Raw genomic sequence first — 20,453 nt, forward strand, 5'->3', positions numbered from 1 at the left:
TCCGTAGTCTGCTGAGCGGAACGGAGCTTGGGGAGCGGCGAGGCATTAACGATTAAGTGGAGCCGGGAAGGCGCTGGCTTTGGTGATGTGTTGGGTTTGGATGTGTCGCGTCTGCACAGATGAGGTGCCCTGCGTGGGCTGAGGGTTATTCCTGTCTCTTTCCCGTCCGTCTACACCCGCCAACCCCTTTTTGTTTTGGTCTTTAGAAATCTGTAGCATAACCGTACCGTCGTGGATCCCCATCTCGTCTCTGTCCCTGATCTGGGGTGATTTGGGACTTCGGTGTCGCTCTTTTTCCAAAGTTGGAGGGTCGGGAGCGCCGAGACACCCTGGCGAGGAGGAGGAGGAGGAGGAGGGAGGCTGCGCTGAGCCGGGTGCAGGTGCGCTCACGTTTGCATCAATTAGGAACTCCGGGCAGAGAGAGCTGCACTTAGGTCAGGGATTAACTGTGGACCCGCGGGACCCAAGCGCTGGGGTAGGAGGACTGGGGATCTTTGTTCGGAGTGCGCTGCGAAGGCTGCTGGAGGCGGACACCCTCCCAGCTTATTGCTAGCGTGGGATAGAGGGAGCGCACGCGGCTAGGCTCCAGCAGCGACTCGGCTTTTCGCGTATTCTAAGCACTGAAGAGCCTCTTAAGGGGAGCTGTCCAAATCGCCCAGGAGTGGTGGCGAGACACAGGAGGCCATGCCAGCGATGCTGTTATTAATATTGCAGACTTGGTCATCTCTCCTGGCTTGCGGTTTCTTTTCTCCTCTTCCCTCCCCTTCTCTTTTCTCTCACATGTGTTTCACACAGGTGGTGGGGATTACTCAATGACTTACAGCTCCCTTCTCGTTTATTAGTGGGAGGGGGTTGAATGTTGGCAGTTCTTACAAAGCATTTGTTTTCTTAAACGATCCTGTTTGATCCATACTCTGAGATAAGTATGAAAATATTAAAACATCATACGTTCCTTCCTTTTATACCCCTTCCTCCTAATCCCCAGCACACATCAGAATGTAAACATTGGTTAGCAGATATAGAAAAATAATTTCAGAACGGGAACATGGATTGAACATCCTCTTTCAGGCTGACAGCCCTTAAATTTCATTAACAAGCCGCCGAGCCTCTCTACTGCTCTGGGAATGATGCTACCAGTAAGAAAGATTAGCCAGGTGAGAGTCCCCACATGAAATCTTTGCTCACTAACCTGTGACACCAGCTGGTTACTTGAGGCGCTGCAAACAGTTCAGTGATGGTGGAAGTGGGATGCAGAAGCAGAGCAGAGCAGAGCACACAGGAGCTGAAAATGTATGTGTAGATAGTGGACACGCTGTCTATACACAACAAATCCCCTTGTCAGGATTAATCTGGTACTTAAAATTCATATGAAGAGATAGGTGCAAGCTCGAATCCATTTTTCTTGTTAGTGTGCATTTTTTAATAGCCACTTCAAATATTCAGGGAGTGGCTACTTTGCAGAACTCTTGTTTTAATAGAGTATTTTAAGTGCCTTTCTGAGTATTGACATGATTTGAAAATGTCAGTTTTATGAATCTTATGCATGTGTTCTAATAGATTGATTTTACAAAGAAAGTCAACTGAAATATACACATGGCACCTCGCAGTGAGGGTGTTTCAAGCACTCCCAGGAAATACTCATATCTAGCATATTTTTGTTCAAAGCTTGACATATGAAACGATGGAAAAAGAATGTGAATGATTTTTGTGACAGCTTAAACTACTTTCCGTAAGACTACTAAGCTTTTATTAGCCATATTAGTCATTATGGTTTAATTCTGCAATTGCCACACAACTCTCGTGCAATACTAGATATAATATAGCTTCATAAAGATGTGATTAGTTGTGTGTTTTCTATAATATTTCATAAAAAAGATTCATAAATTTAAATTAAAATGTACCTTTATGAAATTTTACCTAGTGGTTAAATAGGGCACATGTTCCAACAAATCAATCACTATGCATTGATTTTGAATGATTTAAGCTATTGCATGTTTCCAAGAATGTCTTCTAGTTTCTATGGTGAAGATTTTTATGAAACCTCAAAGATGCCTTGTCCTGAGGCCATCAAACACCTATTTCCACTTATAGCACAGTGGAAGACCATAATCCTTCCTGTAACTGAAAATGGTTATGAACCATATAATTTGGTTACAGTTACAGTCCTGTAGAGGGCTCAACCTTCCTCTTTTATTTGATCTGTTAGTGTCCTCTGGCACAGGGTGCCATGACAAGAGGACATGCCCTCCCTCCCTAGAGAATGGTGACAACAAGAATAGGAGGGACCGTGTAGGGACCGTGTATTTTATGAATATTCTGAATCATTGGAAATATTTTTATCATCTTAGTAATCTTTCTTTTAAAGATTCTTTGATTACAAAATATTTATGACAGTTATTTTTGTTGCTTTCACAACACTCCACATTTACAAAATATCTAAAAACAAATGCCTTGACATGACTAGACACAATCATTTCTTAACATGATCAATATCTCAATTAACATTGAAAGAGCTAAGAACTCTAGTGGCTAATTGTAATTTATTATTATTTTTAAAAATCACTTCCTGAATGCTTGCCACAGGCAGAGTACTATTCTTAGGGTTCATAAAGTAACATTTCTTGAATGTATTTTTCTATTTGATTCTCAAAGCAGTTTTTTGAGGTGAGTCCTGTTTTTATTCCTATTTTAGAGATGAGAATACAGAGGATTAAGGAAGTTATTGTGGAAGTGAGACTTAGCCAGGAACTCATGGAGGTCTGAAGCCTCAACTTTTAACTTCTATACAATCATGATACAACATATTTCTATTGTAAGAATGAAAATAATTGCAAATTATATGTGTATGTGTGCACATGTGCACAAATTTACCTTGAATATAAAACAAATGAATAATTTGTTTAAAGCTTCAACTATACAAGTAAATCACAGCTCTGCTAATTTTAGTTAATATCACGCTACTGATCTAAATAATATAAAAGAACAAGATAGATCCTCATAAATTTATAGGAGCTTTTTTTGATCTTTGTATCATTTGTCTCTGATGACGAGACTCTCAACGTTTGTTAAATGAGTATATATATATTTTTAATGGTCAATCAGACAAGGTTTAGAGTTTGTTCACATTTCCACCAGGTGGCACCCTTCTGCTGACTCCAGTGGGTAAAAATATTGCCTAAAAAGCGTGGCTGTTCTCTCAGCTCCAAAAGCAAAACAAAAATAACCACACAAAAACAAAAACAACAAAAACAAAACCATCCCACTTTTTAGAGTATGACTAAAAAGCATATTTTTAAAAGCAACTATTTGACTACAAAGACAGCACTTGTTATGCATTTTCTTTAAAAAAATGCATTTTGGTAAAAAACCAATCTCTTACAATTGAACGTGAAGCTGTCACTTGATGAAATAATTCATGACCAGAATTGAGATCAAATGTGTAATGTGTAAAATGCCTTCTCTGAAATATCGATGTGCTTTAGACATTTAGGTAATATCAACTTAAAATGTTTTAATACAGAAATTGGTATTCAGTATTTTTATTTTACCTTTGGTCTAGCAAACCAGATTAAATATTCAAACATATGCTTAATGAAAAATTGCAAAAGAGTTATTCTTCCATGTGCCCTTTGCTAATATATACACATCATAATTTGATCAATAAACTATTGTTTTTAAAACACAACCATGAAAAGAGCTTTCATAAATCATATTGAAAAATTTTAATTAATAAAAAACATATTACTTCGAATTATTCAACATATAAAATGTCATATTTAATTGGGAGTAGAGTTCTATATAATTTGGTTATAAAAGATAATATACATTAAATAAAGATGTTATATGGAAGTCTATGATTTGAGAGAAAATATGCATTTCCTACTCTCCCTGAATTTCTTATTTTTATATGTAAATATTATATATTATATAAATTTATAATATAAATATATATATAAATTTATAATATAAATATATATTATATAAATTTATAATATAAATATTATATATAAGGCATTTTGTTTATTAAGAACATACAACAAATATCTCTTGCTTAGAATCTTCTAATATATCTATATATCTGTTTGATTATTTCAGGATCTGAGCAAATGGTACATTTTAAAAAGATTAAATTATATAAAACAACTTAAAGAAAATTGTATTATTAAATATCAATGCTGCATTATCTTATGAAGCACATTACATTGGAAACAAAACAACCAAATTTCTCCCAGTCTCAGTAAAAATAAAGCAAATTCAAAATTTTGGTTTCTTGAATTATTTATGATTACAGAATGTCTTAAGCTTTACTACTTATAGGCACATTTTAAATTTACTTACAGTGTGACATGTAGCAGACACAATGCCAGAATGCTGTGACTAAGATTGTGAGATTTTGTGCTATCAACAACAAATATTTATTCATCACTGTCTATGGGTTATGCACTGGAAGTCACAGAGTCAAGTTCATATCCCAGGTCCGCCAAAGACCAGTGTGTTTTCTTGGGCAGGATAACTGAATTTCCCCATTTCACCTGTGAATGGAGGTGACTGCAGTTCCCTTTAGATGTTTGTTCTAACGGTTAAATGAAATAATATGTAGGAGTTTTTGAATAAGGTCTGACTCATACCAAGTCTTCTTATTAAATGTGTAGTCTGGGAATAAGAGCCTAGACAAAATAGAAAAAAAAAAAAAAATCTGGGCCTGGTGCAGTGGCTCCCACTTGTAATCCCAACACTTTGGGAGGCTGAGATAGATGGATTGAGCCTAGGAGTTCTAGACCAGCGTGGGCAACGTAATGTGACTTTGTCTCTAAAACAAACAAACAAACAAACAAAAAACAAAAAAGAAAATAAAAAGAAAAGAAAGAAAGAAAGAATTATCAGGGTTTAGTGACATACTCCTGTGGTCCCAGCTACTCAGGAGGCTGCGGTGGGAGGATTGCTTGAACCTGGGAGGTCAAGACCACAGTGAGCTGAGATTGTGCCACTGCACTCTAGCTTGGGCAACAGAACGAGACCGTCTCAAAAAAAAAAAAAAAAAAAAGCCTCAGATTATTAAGCCGTGTATAGCTGATCCATTATTTTAAGTTTACAGACAACCATATTTTGCAGTGCACATATTAGTATGATTACACATGAGTTTTTGGGTGCATGCAAATATTATATTAATGGATTTGGACATCAATCCTATTTTGGCAGGCATCCAGATTTCAAAATATTCTGTTACATCCTGACTTTCATTCAATCAAAATTGAATAGTAAAATTCTTTACTGTTCTACTCTGTAAGAAGTCAGGCTAAAAGTAAACTTTGGCTAATTCTCACCAAGAGTTGAATTAGCTGCTGAATATGTTGCATATTGTTTTCAATGCAATGTACTTCCCAAGGTAATCAGCATGAGAAAGAGGATATTTAAAGGAAAGACAGATGGGATTTATAGAAATATGTCAGGGGGTGAGATTTCAGTCAATGTAGCAGGAGAGTGTGCTTGGCAGTGGAGCCACCAAGAACCCAGGGTGCATGTCCCTACTGTTATGGGGAGGGGCATGGAATTGGATTAAACATAAGTCAAAAGACTTTTTCACAAATTTTTTCTACACCTTTTTCTGTGTAACCTTTAAACACACATGTATGCTCCACTTATTAAAATCATCTCCATATATTTTCATACTTGCTAAGTGACTTGTGTGTCCTAACCAAGTTCATGTATGACTAACATTAGAATGGGGGCCATATACTAAGACATACATCAACCAAAAAAAGGTTGGAGGTTTTTCCATCTGAAGACTTGTGCAAGGTCCAAAAAGAAGCCAGATAAATGATAAAGGGACTGTAAACTTCTTCATAAACTTATATCCTTATGGATAGTTAGAATTGTTCTTGCTCTAGTGAATGCTGTCCTGCCTTGAGAAGTTGTGGAGTTTAGTATTGATTATTCCCAGCATACTCTTGTTTTAAAGTTTTTATTGACCTGATCCACAAGTTTTCTGGCAATAACCAATCTCTGTTTATTTGTCCCTATCTAATAGCACCTGTTCTCTAAGGCTTTTAAAATTAGCACTTACCTTCTTTCTACACGGTAGACATTCTTATCATTGACTACATATTAACTCAAGGAATGGTTGTCGTTTTCAGTATAGTAGAGAAGGCTGGGAAGTAGGTTCGGTGGGGAGACTGGGGCACTGAAAAGAAAGCTCTTCTATTGTAGATTTATGTTTGTTAAGCTTTCCTAAATTCTTAGAATCTCAGGCATATCCATTTGTAATGGTAAATGTGTCATCCACTGCCAGGCTAAATACAGAAAACTCACTTTTATCCAAAACTGATAAAATAAATATTTTGAATTGTTCTGTTCTGTAATTGATGTGAACAGTATTCTTTTAATGTCTTCCACAAAATAAAAAAAATTTTTTTCTAAGTTTTTCATGCCATAGTTTATTTAAAAGTTATTAAAATATTCTATAACATTTTTGGAATTGCCAAATGATTTTCAAATTTAATTACATTTTGGGGAGAGGCAACGTGATGTAAGACTGAGAACAAGGTCAAACAGATTTCAGATTGATTCCTTCCTCTGCCATTTACTAGGCAATTTATAATCCCACTAAAATCATTCTTTCATCTTGAAAAGGGAGAGGATGATGAGAATGTTGCAATAATTAGAGAATCTATGTGAATGAGTTTTTATTGCATCTGGCTCAAGCTTGAAACCTAGTAAGTATTTTCATTCTTAATGCTATCGTGCTTCTAGATCATCTCAGAAGGATATTTTCTTCTTTTACAAAAGTAAATTTGCACTTATGTGAATGAAAATGCTGAATATGTGTGTGTACACCATTATCAAATATATACACACTATACACACACATATATATATATTTATGATCTAAATGCTATGGATCTTTTATAGGTAGATTATTATAGGGCGTTAGATGAAAATGAATTCGTGACAACTTGACTGATTTCTACTATTTTTAGATGAAGAGTCTATTTTCACAAAAGACTTAGAGTCTTGTTTGATATGTTCATGGTTTAATATTCTCTTTCCAGAAGTTTGGTGCCCAGGAATGATTTACTTAGAAATTCTTTGCATACGGGAACAGGTGATATTATTTAGTTGAAATTTAAGAAAAGTTAGTTGAGTGCATAATCAAAACCGACTTTACATTTGGGAATGTTCTCCAGCCAAGCTATGTATTATCTAACTTTAATATTATTGTAATTCGTCATGCTTACTGGTTTTCTCAGGTCAAGACAAAATAACTATGTATCAGATTATAAAAGATAGCAAATGAAGAAAAGGGAGGATAAAAGCTATTTTTATTATTCTTATCCCCACTCTCTTTTTGATATGTAAATGAAGATTCAGTTTCTTATTCCATCTGAGAAAGTCTGCTCTGAAAACAGAAATGTGACAAATCTGTATTACGTAATCAAGAACTTGAGTGGCAGGCTGCCCTGTGATTTATTTTCAAATAATGGACCAGAGAGACCACTTGAAGTTGCATTAATAATGCTTGTACAGGGAGAAATAGGCCTTTCTTGTTATTGGAACATGGGTTTACTTTTGGCAAGAGTTGAGTAAGTGAAAACTCTGATATTCATACTTACATTAATCACATCTCACCTCCAGGAATGGTTTTAATGTAAGTTAATCAATGCAAAACATGGCTCTTTTTTTTCACTTCACATGTTTTAAAACAAGTACTAGAAGTCTTTCATAAAGCAATCCTTTAAATCAATGTGTCACAAATTTGCATTGATAATTCTTCTCTCTTAGACACAGAATAGAAGATGAGGAACTGAGACAATGTTTGAATAGAGGTAAAAATATATCTTTTTGAGAGGAAAAAAAACTGAAATCCATGAAGGATTCCTCAAATTTAGAATAGGTCATTTGTCTGGCAAAATTAGTCTATAATTTAAATTTCCTAGGATCTATGAAATTATGAATAGATTTTCTATCTACCTCACTAGCTTTTAGGGACTTCAAGGGAAAAGACGATACGTTTCACCTGTATGTACTTTTTTAGAGTACTATAAAACATAAGTGGTCCAATAAATAAAGTGAACATATTTTGAAGCCAAACCCAACATCTTCATCAGGGTTATTTCTTTTTTTCTGATCTTAGGAATTGTGTGTACCCTACTTCTTGACACCCATAGTGAGAGTGATAGGCATGTGTGAATTGAACCAGAAGTTGAAATGAAAGAAACTCCCCTCCCTCACATTTATGAAGGTTGCTTATAATTGCTCCAAAATGAGATTTGCTCAACTTTAGGCCACTGTGGCATGATGAGTGGCTCATTATTACACATTTCTATTTGCTCAGCGTCAGTATCTCTGCACTCTAGGATGGTACTTCTCGTTCCTTCATCTCTCTTTGCATGAATGCCATCTCCAAACCCAAATCCAGTTCCCTCCGCCTCTCTACATTTCTGAGAGCCATCGTCTGTCTAAGAGTTGATTGACTTTCTGAGAAAGAATACTTTGATATTGGCTGGGCACAGTGGCTCGTGCCTGTAATCTCAGCACTTTGGAAGGCCGAGGCAGGTGGATCACCTGAGGTCAGGAGTTTGAGACCAGGCTGGCCAACATGGTGAAACCTTGTCTCTACTAAAAATACAAAAATTAGCCAGGTGTGGTGCCACATGCCTATAATCCTAGCGACTCAGGAGGCTGAGGCTGGAGAATTGCTTGAACCCAGGAGGCAGAGGTTGCTGGGAGCCAAGATTGTGCCACTTAACTCCAGTCTGGGTGGCAGAGCGAGACTCCATCAAAAAAAAAAAAAAAAGAAAAGAAAAGAAAAGAAAAGAAAAAGAATAGTTGGATATTGGTAGCAGCATTGCCTTTCTAAATTATTTCCTTCAAATAGCCATGACATGAATGATAAATGATGATAACATTCAGAGAAACTGTTGTTTCCTAAATGTCACACCTTTGTATTCAAATCAGGAAACAGACAATGGAGAGGTGAAGTGACTTGTCTAAGGTCACACTGTTGTTTAGAATTAGAAGCAGTACTTGATTCTGGGTCTCTTTCCATCTAGCCATTCCCAGATTCAGCTGCTGGTACAAAGCCTTCGGTGGTGTCATGGTAGCACATCTGCCTTCCTTGCCGCTTAAGTATAACCTTAAAAAAAAAAAACAAAAAAAAAACAAGTTTTAAAATGCTTTGTGTCCATAGGCAAGGCTCATTTGACATTTCTTGATTTCTCCTTTGTGATGTGCTAGTTCTAGGTCAGTGGTCCTTAGACTTTTGGCACCTGGCCACCAGACATCACAGAAGTGCATATGCATCTTCTGTACTTTGCCATGGCAAGAGGTTACACGCAAAGCCATAATGCCATTCTGAACGTAAACTGTGAAATTCACTACTCCAGTGAAATGGCAGTGCCACCACTACACAAACAGAGTTGACTTTCTCAAGCTTCCCCTCTTACACTCAGCATGAATAAGCAACTGCTGATATCTACACACAGCATCTGAAATTGCAACTCCCAGCAATGTAGTAGCAATTGGGTGAATCCCTCCTAAAGGAGAGATGCTCTTAACAACTGGGGAATGCATGCAGGTAAATTTTAGAGCTTTCTTGGGACATTAATGGAAACAACAGACTTCTGATACACTGGGATTCTTGGTAAGAAAGGCTTCTCCCCCGGGCGTGGTGGTGGGTGCCTGTAGTCCCAGCTACTCCGGAGGCTGAGGCAGGAGAATGGCTTGAACCCGAGAGGCGGAGCTTGCAGTGAGCCCAGATCGCGCCACTGCACTCTAGCCTGGGCGACAGAGTGAGAATCCGTCTCAAAAAAAAAAAAAAAGCTATTTCCAGAAGCTGATTATTTGTATTTCCAGACAGAGTTTTCAGAGCACCAAGTTCCAATACAGACCAGAGAAATGATTATATGCTAAATAAATAAGTCCATGAGGATAATTTTTCAGACACATGTAATTATTTTTAGTGGATAGACCCAGGGATTTCTACTCATTTAACCTGACGTTAAACCCTAGAACCTTGACATACTAGTTTGAGCAACTTACCCAGCCTCTCTGTATCTGATGCTTCATCTGAAAATGAATTGATGTTTATTTTGCAGAACTGTTGTGAGGATCAGCAATGAAATAGGTTTACTATCCAAGAGGTGCTGAAAAATGGTGGTGCTTATTATTTGGTTATTAATATGTGTTGGGTTGTTATACCGGACATAGACAGAGCGATGGAAAATCAAACTATGTTGGATGTTGAAGTTCCCAGAAGTTGGAAACACAGCTTTAAAGCACCTTTTGTCATTGTTTGACATTGGAAGCTTAAGGGCATCTTTAATATTGAGCTCCTGTTTTGGTTGGTATGCAGATTATATAGAGTCCTCCTGACTCCAAAGCAAACATGGATTGGGAGTTGGTTAAGAAGCTGCATGGCATCCATTTTTATATTTCTTATCACGCAGAGAAGTTGACAAAGTTTATATTTTGAAAATGGAAAACTGAATATGCATTTACTTTTCTGAATTTGTTTTTTTTCCCTTCCCCATCCCCATGGTTAAATTCCGTCTCATGCTTATAATGTATTCTGCATTTGGACTGCAGCTTCGTTCCTTCTCAGAGCTACAGTTCTTGAGCTGTAACAGCGAATCCAAAAAAACTAATATGGAATCACAGATGGTGCAAATATTTGAAAATAGATAAATACAATCTAGGATTAGCTGCTTGGACTCAGAAATGTCAGCTTCACATTGCTTATTGGTCACACAAGGCAATTTTAGTTAAGGAAAACACAGGACAAAGCCATCATGATATAAAATTGCTGGTTTGAAGATGTGCAGCATAACAAGCCCATAATTGTTATGTAAACCTCAAAATGAGTCATTCTGTAACAAGAAAAAGGTATTTTAGAGAGATCACAAAGCACCAACAGGTTATATAGGGCTAAAAAATTAAGCAGATACCATAACTCGTTCCTGTTGTACAGTACCATCTGCTGACTTCCATTTACAGCCAATTTTTAAGGAGAAAATATCTGTTCTAATGGGTATGCTTTAGGTAGGCACATATTAAATGACCTGAGCATGAGATGCAACAGTCAAATTGCCAGCGTAAAATCTGCAGATGGTAATTATTAGTAACATGCACTGTGGGCTCATAGTTCTGACTCTGAGAGTCTTAAATAATAGAATCCCATTTTCTCTCCATTATCCCCCTTTAAGATGTACATATATTCTGAAGGAATCTTACAACCGACTATGTGATTAAGTTATCTGGTTTACTGATAAGGCAGTTGAGAACGATAAAGGCTGATTTGCTCAAAATCATACAACTGATCAGTTTGGTACAGTAGAAAGAAGAGTTCCTCCCACCTAGGTTAAGAGTTGGTAGAAGGAGCCTCACTCAATTATCAGAATCATAGAAATAACTTTGGATTGTCTGTGATGATGTCGATAAAGAAAAAATTGATGAGAATGTAAGTGGAAAGGTTCCAGCTGGTTTAGGATTTTATTTTTATTTTTGGTAGCAGGTTTAATAAGAAGATGTATTGTATAGATTCTATCTGAAAGCAATAAGGTTAACTATCATGGTTTGTGTAAAGTCTAGGTTTTCTGCAGTATCTCATTTTCCTGATGAAGTAGAAGAGAGTAGGAAGACCCGTTCCAGATCAGACATGAAGATCTATAAGACAGTATTGATCGCTTTCAATGTACATGTTTCCAAATGAGAAAATGTGGTTCTCGTATAAGTATGTAGTGAATATTTGTCAATAATTTAACTTATTAAAGGAGCCATCAAGATGGTAAAGTTGGTTCAAACAGTATTTGAGGAAGAGAGATTTATATAGTCTGAAAAGGAATGGCTTACAAAGTTTCCAAAATTAAATACAAAACTGGTTAATATTCAGGCCATAACTTTTGTGTTTGTCTTTGATAGCAGACAGAAATTTTTGGGTACTTATATATTTTCTATAATTAACATCTAACTTTATAGACTGTGGGCCTATGTAATAGCAAATAGTAAGAGAAAATAGGGTACATTCCCCTAAAATTCTATAATCATATGTCGGCTGATTAGATAGTGCCCCAGTTTGACATTGAAAAGATGAATGTATAGTTATACTTGTTTTTATTTACAGTTCTCGAATTGTTTTCTTAACATTCCCAAGCTCAGAAAAATTGTGCAATCTGGGCCTACACTTGATGTCACAGCCAACTTCTTAAGTCATGTTATTAAAGTTTTCTGTAAACCCTGTGGAGCTTCCAGTGTCAGATTTGATTCACCAGCAGTGAGGTCCTGGAATGCAGCCAGTCAGCCAACATTGCTTGTCGGGTTTGTCCCAAGAAATTGATGCAGGTGTCTATGAAGGCTAGAGGAGAACAATTTGGTAGTCTCAAATAGCTTTTCTTTGGAGAAGATGAGATAGGATAATTGCACACAAGGAAGTGAGAAACCATTCTTGAAGGATTTAGCAAAATGAGATTCGGATCAAGCTGCGTGGTGGTAGTTGTTCCTGGAGATGGCTACTTTTAGAAACTGCCCTTAGGGAGAAGAGAGATTAACTACCAACATGGTGTGATTTAAGGCATATCATAAATTTTCATTCCCTTGTGACTCGCATCTGTGACTGTCAGTGCTCTGAAAAATAGCTCTTCTCATTCATCTGTGTAGCTCTGGATTCCACCATGACTTCCTTTGTTCCTTTAACTTCTGGCTGGGCAGGGGATATTAACAATTTATGTCTAACTTGTATCATTTCCTGCTCCGTGATTGCTTGGTATGCTCTGTCTTGAGAACCCATATTTGGGGGCCAGAGAAGATGAAGGTCTTATGAATTTAAGAGGGGTGGGGGAACAGGAAGAAATAAACATATGAATGGGATTGGGAACCTCAAGAGAGAATCACCACTTGCACATGGGGCAAGCTACTTCCCTTCCCTTGCCCTTTCCTACCAGTGTTAAAAACAAAAAAATAAGTTTACATGAGTACTTCTGTGCAGTGTAAAAAGGGGTTCAATGAATAATTTGGAGTTTAAAAAACTTATTGAATAATTGAACCTTAGTTTCCTAAAATATCTTTTACTTTCTCACAGAAAAGACCAGCGCTATTCAATAGTACATACTGGAAAGATGAAAATGTTCTGTATTGGTGTTTTCCAATATGATAACCACCAGCTACACATGGCTATCATGTTTAAACACTTGAATTGTGACAGTGACACTGAAGAATTGTATTTTTAATTGTACTTAATTTTAATTAATTTAAGCTTAAGTAGCTGTATGTGGCTAGGGCTACTATATATTAGAGAATCAGTTTTAGAACACTATCCAAACTTTAATGTGGGTATGAATCACTTGGGGATATTGCTGAAAAGCAGATTCTAGTCCAGTGAATGTGAGCTGGGGTCCAAGATTCTGCATTTATAGCAGGTGCCCAGATGATGCCTAGTCTGTGGACCACACTCTGAGAAGTAAGGCTTTATTTCTCAAAAGCAAGGATTCTCTAATCCTAATTTATGTCTTTAGCCAGGCTGACACTTGTCCTAGAGGATGAGTCAGATGAGCCTGTAGCAAAATTACAAAATATGACTTTCAAATTATAAAAGGAAAGAATTTCAGTGACAAAATTATTAGTATTTTTATTATTGACAGTAGCTAAAATTTTGTGTCTATACTATTTATATATGTTGTATATTTATATTTTATATATTTTATAAAAAATTTAAATATATTTATATATAAATATATATTTGTTATATATAAACATTTTATATTTATAATATTTATATATTTATATTATGTAATGTAATCAATTGCTTAAATTTTATTTAATCCTCACCATAACCTTATGTAATAGATTCCACTTTTATTCCAGTTTTGCAAATGAGGATCTGAGGTTTATTAAAGTTAAGAGACTCCCAAGACTCCACAGGTAGTAAATGCAGAAGTTGTCTTTTGATCACATACAGTCATACATATTATAATAACCATCAACTTCTTTCCTGTTATTAAGTGGAGGCCAATGATTTCCCACTTGCGGCTGATCAATAAATCATATTTGATTCTTTTCTACAAAGGATAATAGTAAGAGCCATACTAGTAGTTGTAGTAGTAATGCTCACTAGAACTCTGTGTACAAGTTAGAACTGTCATCCTCACTTCAAAGATGAGGAAATTGAGGTTCAGAGAGGGAACCTCTTTGGTTACATAATTTGATTACGACCACATAACTTGTAGGTAGGTGGCAGAACTGGGTTTTGAACCTGGATTGTCTGCCTCTGGAGTCCATGCCCTTGTCTGTTCCAGTAGACAGTTTCTCATGTGTTTGGTGAGCACCTGCTCCCTTAGGCAATGCACTGTGAGCATGGCTACTGCCTTCTGTATATTCAATTGAAAATGGAGTTTACTTTGAAAATTTTAATCATGTATAATTTTATGTCTATCAAAAATATTTTAAGACAAAAAGTCACTCTTTATTGTCCAAAATGTATAATTTAGTTTGTAGCATCTTTGAAGCCAGTTTTTAAATTCGTTTGTCATCCATGAAGCTGACTTTTTAATTGTGCATATTTAGTTTTAGATCTTACCTCCACTTTTTTATTAGTGAAGAACTGGTGAGCACTGTAAGACATGTACATGTACGTGTGTGTATATGTGTATATATTAATGTAAACTTTACAATTTAGAAAAACTTAAAATTGTCTTCCTTGTCTCCCGTAATGAACTTGAACGACAAATTGGCTTCATCATTTTATGAAAGAGAAGGTGAATGCTTTGCTCCCGGTTTTTCAGTAACCTAAGCATCTGATTTAAGCCTTATTTTTCAGAGGTCTTTGTCATTTTGTTTAGTTCGGCAGTCGGTGCTAACGGAGTCTATTTTTTTCACTTCCAATTTTAAATAAAACACACAATCTTCTTTAATTTCTGAATAACATATTCATGTAGTTCAAACATCAAATATTACACAAATATATACAGTGGAACGTCTCCTTCCCAGAGTTGTTCCCCAGCTGTGCAGCTCCTCATTCTGTCATTCTTTTGATAGGTAATCACTAATATTATTTTCATTTCTTTCTTCCAGAGAAATGTTTGTAGTTTCAAGCTAGTCTAGACACATTCTTTACCTCTCCTTTTATAAAAATGTTAGCAGACATGTTTATTTTGAAGTGTATAACATTGCTTTTGTTTTGTTTTGTTTTTGTTTTTGTTTGTTTGTTTGTTTGAGACAGAGTCTTGCTCTGTGGCCCAGGCTGGAGTACAGTGGCGCGATCTCTGCTCGCTGCAAGCTCCGCCTGCCAGGTTCATGCCATTCTCCTGCCTCAGCCTCCTGAGTACCTGGGACTACAGGTGCCCGCCACCACGCCCGGCTAACTTTTTGTATTTTTAGTAGAGACGGGGATTCACTGTGTTAGCCAGGATGATCTCGATCTCCTGACCTCGTGATCCACCTGCCTCGGCCTCCCAAAGTGACATTGCTTTTTTTTGATAAAAACCTTGATATTATCAAAATAGACCCTCTAAAAGTTGGCTTCTTTAAAAAATGTTCCTCCTTTTTTCATGATGAATTAGATATTATGTGCCTCATAATCTGATAAGTGATAGCCAGTCTTGGTGCAGGTGTGTTTACTGTGCCCTTGCCTACAAACAGAAGGGAAGAGCCATGCTCTCCACACATTGCCTGACAAAGAGTAGGTGCTCATTAAACACCTGAGACACTGTCTACCGGAGTAGACAAGGGCATGGACTCTAGGGGCAGACAATCCAGGTTCAAAGCCCGGTTCTGCCACCTAGAAGTTATGTGGCCCTAGTCAAATTACTTTCCTTCTCTGAACCACAGTTTCCTCATCTTTAAAATGAGAACAACAAACTAACTTGCACACAGTGTTCTAATGAGCATTATTACTACCACGACTACTATGAATACCACTACTGTCATCTGTGGAGGAGAGTGGCTACTTTACTGGTCAACCACAATCAGCAAATCATTGGCCTCTATTTAATAAAGAAAATAAATTGATGGTTATTATGATATGTATGATTGCATGTAACCTAAAGATAACTACTGCATTTATTAGCTGTTCTGTTTTGGGTATCCCTTAACCTCTCTGAACCTCAGCTCCCAATTAGCAAAACTGGAATAAAAGTATTTGATATGTTGGCATCCACTTCAATGCTATATCTGTGCATGTGTGTATGAATATGTATGTATATATACATTTATTTATATACATGCTTTCCAACTTAGGATGAGGTTAGGTCCTGACATAACCATTGTAAATCAAAAATATCATCGGGTCAAAAATGCATCATAAATTGAAACTATCATAAGTTCCTCTACCTATTATGGGATTGTGGTTTCTACTGGATGTGTATGGCTTTCACACCATGGTGAAGCCAAACCATCATAATCGAGGGACCATCTAGATAGCATTGGTCTACATATGTTAATGGGGATCTTAACAAATTAAAAGTAGAAAAGCTTCCTCCTTATCCCCAGCATTAGACTCAAGTATGTATCCCAGCTTTTGCAGATTTTAATAAGTTGAAAATAATGAATGAGCCTTTCCTAGTAGATGGGTAAAAGAAAAGGGCTATTATTGAAATATTCTGAAACACAATTCTATACCTTATAAGATATTCATGTTAAGGAAACAATAAAATAATATTTAGAAATTTTAATGTAGAATTGAACAAATTCCCTCTATTTTCTTTTATAATAAGAAAGATTATATTCCTGGATGTTTGAATGACACTGTGAAGTCTAAAGGCTAGTAATGGACATAATCCCGCATTATTAAAATGTTGTTTCTGTATTATTATTAAAAAATATAGAGACTCTCAATACATGATAATGAATACGTGGTGTGCTTACGTTTTCTTATATACCGTGGGATAAGCATAATTTGAGAAATGAGAGGCATTTCTTTAAACAATAGACTGTGCTTTATTCACCTGTCTTAGTCTAAAAAGGCTATATGTTGCTGTCAGTCACAGCAAACCACCCTCTCAGTGAATAAGGAGATAATAGTATTTGAGGTAAGGATAGAAGACCTTAGACTTTGCAGAATTCTTTTATGTTTGCAAAGAAAAATTACCTCGATAAATTATAAGCTTATGGATTTTTGTGTCCTTAACTCCTCATATATTGAGGAAGCTAAGAATTATTCTAAACTTGGCAAATTTATTTGGTCAAAATATTCCTCTCTATTCCATCAAGTAGTAATGGAATTTAACAAACACACCAGGAAGAAAAATAGCAGCATTGAAATGTTTTATTGATCCGTAAGGATGACCAGCTCTACCAAGACTCGAAACCGTTTCACAGAAGGAATTTTTAGTTAAACTATTCTTAACAATAGGAAAAACAAGTTATTTCTTTTAAGATTCTGTAGAGATTATAGAGCTTTTTAAAATCAAATAACCTCTTTTCTCTGAAAAATTTTAAAGAAAAATCAATTTTTTACAATACACCTGCTGAATTATTGCAGGGCATATTTGGTAGCTGCTAATCTTTTAACACAAAGAAGAAACTTGTAGTTGTTAATGCTTCTAGGAAGTCAAGCTGCTGAATGGAAAGTGGTTTTTAGAGTTCAGATTAGGCTTTAATCTTTGATGTCCTGCTGGGAATATTAGGAGATGTATGGGCATGGTTGAGGAGAGGTACACTGATAGAAATCAACTACGACTTTGATAATTTTTTTCAAGAATCTTATTAAGTAACCCAGACAGAAAAGGTACATGAAATGTTACCAGGCAGATTCCTGATTTCATATTATAAATACTGAATAGGTATGACTTGAAATAAATTTTAATCAGTCACTACTTACATATTCGTACCTAAAATTTGGGTAATGGTACCATTTGATTCTATCATAAGGAATCAAGCCTCTTGTGTGTTATAATCCAGGATCTTTAGGTCAAACCTCTTCCTTTTGTGAATTAACCTGAAAATCCTGTCAGATCTTCTAATTACGGTGATATAGGGAAGTTTAATAGGAAGTCAGGATTCCCTTGACCTCTGAGATTTCAGTGTTTGGCGGAGTACCAAGCTCTCTGTTTCACCAGCTACTGCAGAGTCTTATGACATACCCAATGGTTGAATTATAAGTTATGCCCCTGAATACATCTAACCATGACATCCTCTCACTAGAAATGTACATATGTATGTAGATACCCAGACTGATGCTCCAAGGAAATGTTTCTAGATTGAAAGGGTGGGAGTGGGCATGAAAAAATGTCCTTTCTGCTTATTTATCTCAATGTCCATGGAGGTAACTATTTATAATGGAAGGACTGAGGGTAACCCCAAGAACTCTTGATTATAATGATGCTCTCTCCCTCCCTCCATGCCTCCCTTCCTCCTGCCTCCCTCCCTTTCTTAAGCAAAAAAGCAACAGGAAATAAAGAAGTGAATAAAAGTTGTCTCTTTTCCTAAAAATATACGTCACTTAGTGAACACATCTCACCCCTATTTTGATTTACGAATAAGGACAACTTAAAAACTATCTTCTAATATGAAACACCTTAACACTAAGACCTTGCAAGGTGCATCTGTTCTTTTTATCCTGGAGATTAAAAAATAATTTACAGACAAACAGTTTGGGTGTGAAAATACTTAAAATGAACAACTTTCATTATCTTTTAAGAAATCATGACGGAAGTTCTGGTGAATGTCTGTGCTAACCTGAAGATATTGAGAAAGTATTTTAGGCAGATTCTGTTTTATCTGTTACTTCATATCATATCACTCCCTTATTCGGTGGCTTAAAACAACGATTTTATTTCTCATGATTCTGTTGGTCAGGAGTTCAGGTGGCTTGGTGGGCAGTGCTTCTGGTTCAAGTGTGTTGTTTATCTTGACTGCATTCATCCGGTAGCTGGAAGGTCAGGAAGACTTCACTCATATGTCTTGTATATTGTTGCTTTTTCATATGACCTCTCTTTCTTTCTCCACATGGGTAGTTTGAACTTCTTCATAGCATGGGTCCTAGCATCTCTTACCAGGAAGTTGCCTTCTAAAAGGGATTATTCCAAGTACCGAGGGAAAAAAACCCCTGCAGATCTCTTAAGAATCAACCTTAGGAGTTATGGAGCCTCTTTTCTGCCATATTTCCTTGGTCAAAGCAGGACACAGGAGCAGCCCAAATACAAAAGGAGGAAAAATGAATTTCTTGTTTCCATAAGAGAAATGGTAAGGACTGTGCAGTCATCTCGGATCCACCACAGACTATCATTGGCTAAAACAACAGAACTGTATCTGGATACAGACATTCACTATAATAGAAGCATGTGGATGATTTAAGAACGTTTGAATGTTAAAAATATTATAAGGATAAAAGCGATGTCATGATGTCAGTGCTGTATTCAGCCATAATTTTTCAACACATACCGTTAGCCATAATCTATCAACACATGCAGACAAGTTATAATTTATAGAAAACAGTCTTTCATGTGCAGTGATGCTTAAAAAGATAAGAATTTACATTTTCACTGTAAAATAGAAATAAATATAAAGCAATCACCTTTATATAGATGTAGTTATAAAATATATTTATTTGAGAATAAATCTAATGTACCGCTTGGTTGAAAAAGATGGTATATTCCAAATAATCTTTTCGCTTCAGGGAAATTATGACCATCTAGAGTAATTTTGTGTCAAAAATTAAAATATACAGCTAGACTTCTCAGAAGATGTGTATTTTAAGGAAGGGACAAGTACACAGAAGTTGGTTATTATGGCCACAAAGATACTTTAGTTGTGAGATATAATTACATTAATGAATTCTGCCACTGTGAAATCCTTGATGTTGTCACATTTCAGGCTGGAAGAAGTAATTGATCTGGGATTGGTGGGATTCCAAAGATTTCACAGAAGAAAGCTTTTTCAGATGGTTGGGGGAATAATCAGGGAAAACAGTCTTTGGGGTTATCAGGAATATAATATAATTCTCTATGAAATATCTTTTTAAAATTATTCCAGCCCCTCTTTGGGCATTAACAGTGCATGAAAGTATCCTGTTCTCAGTGATCTAACCTTTTTAAAGGTACTCCAATGCAAAGGACTTTAACGCAAAGTGTAGATACTCCTTTCTATGGAATATAACCCTAGTCATGACAAGTTTCTCCTTTGTTTACTCCTTGGAATAAGTGAAGGTGATTTAACTCAGAGAGGAAGGTAGGGAAGCTATTTCAGAAGGAAGATACCTCCCTAACCTGAGTGATGGGGGTTACCTTTCCTTTGCTTCCCACTCCTCCACATTGCCTGTTTTGCTTAAAATATGACTTCATCCCTTTTTCTTCTTTTGTTGTCATGGGATATTGGAATGTAGGAACCAGGATGTCCTGAGTGGTAAACTTAGCTCCACTACCTGAGAAGGACGATGTGGCATACACCCACCCCATGGACAACAGGCTGCTGGGACTCCTTTTTGGAAACATGAAATATTTACACGCACACACACACACACACACGTA

At 36.4% G+C, this 20,453-nt stretch overlaps 1 protein-coding gene across 20 annotated transcripts in view; it reads left to right on the forward strand.

Annotated features, from left to right (window-relative positions):
* The window catches only part of DPP10 (dipeptidyl peptidase like 10), a 1,403,140-nt gene that overhangs the window by 719,940 nt on the left and 662,747 nt on the right, over positions 1 to 20,453 (forward strand).

This window comes from Homo sapiens, chromosome 2 (assembly GCF_000001405.40).
Source record: "Homo sapiens chromosome 2, GRCh38.p14 Primary Assembly".
Classification (NCBI taxonomy): domain Eukaryota; kingdom Metazoa; phylum Chordata; class Mammalia; order Primates; family Hominidae; genus Homo; species Homo sapiens.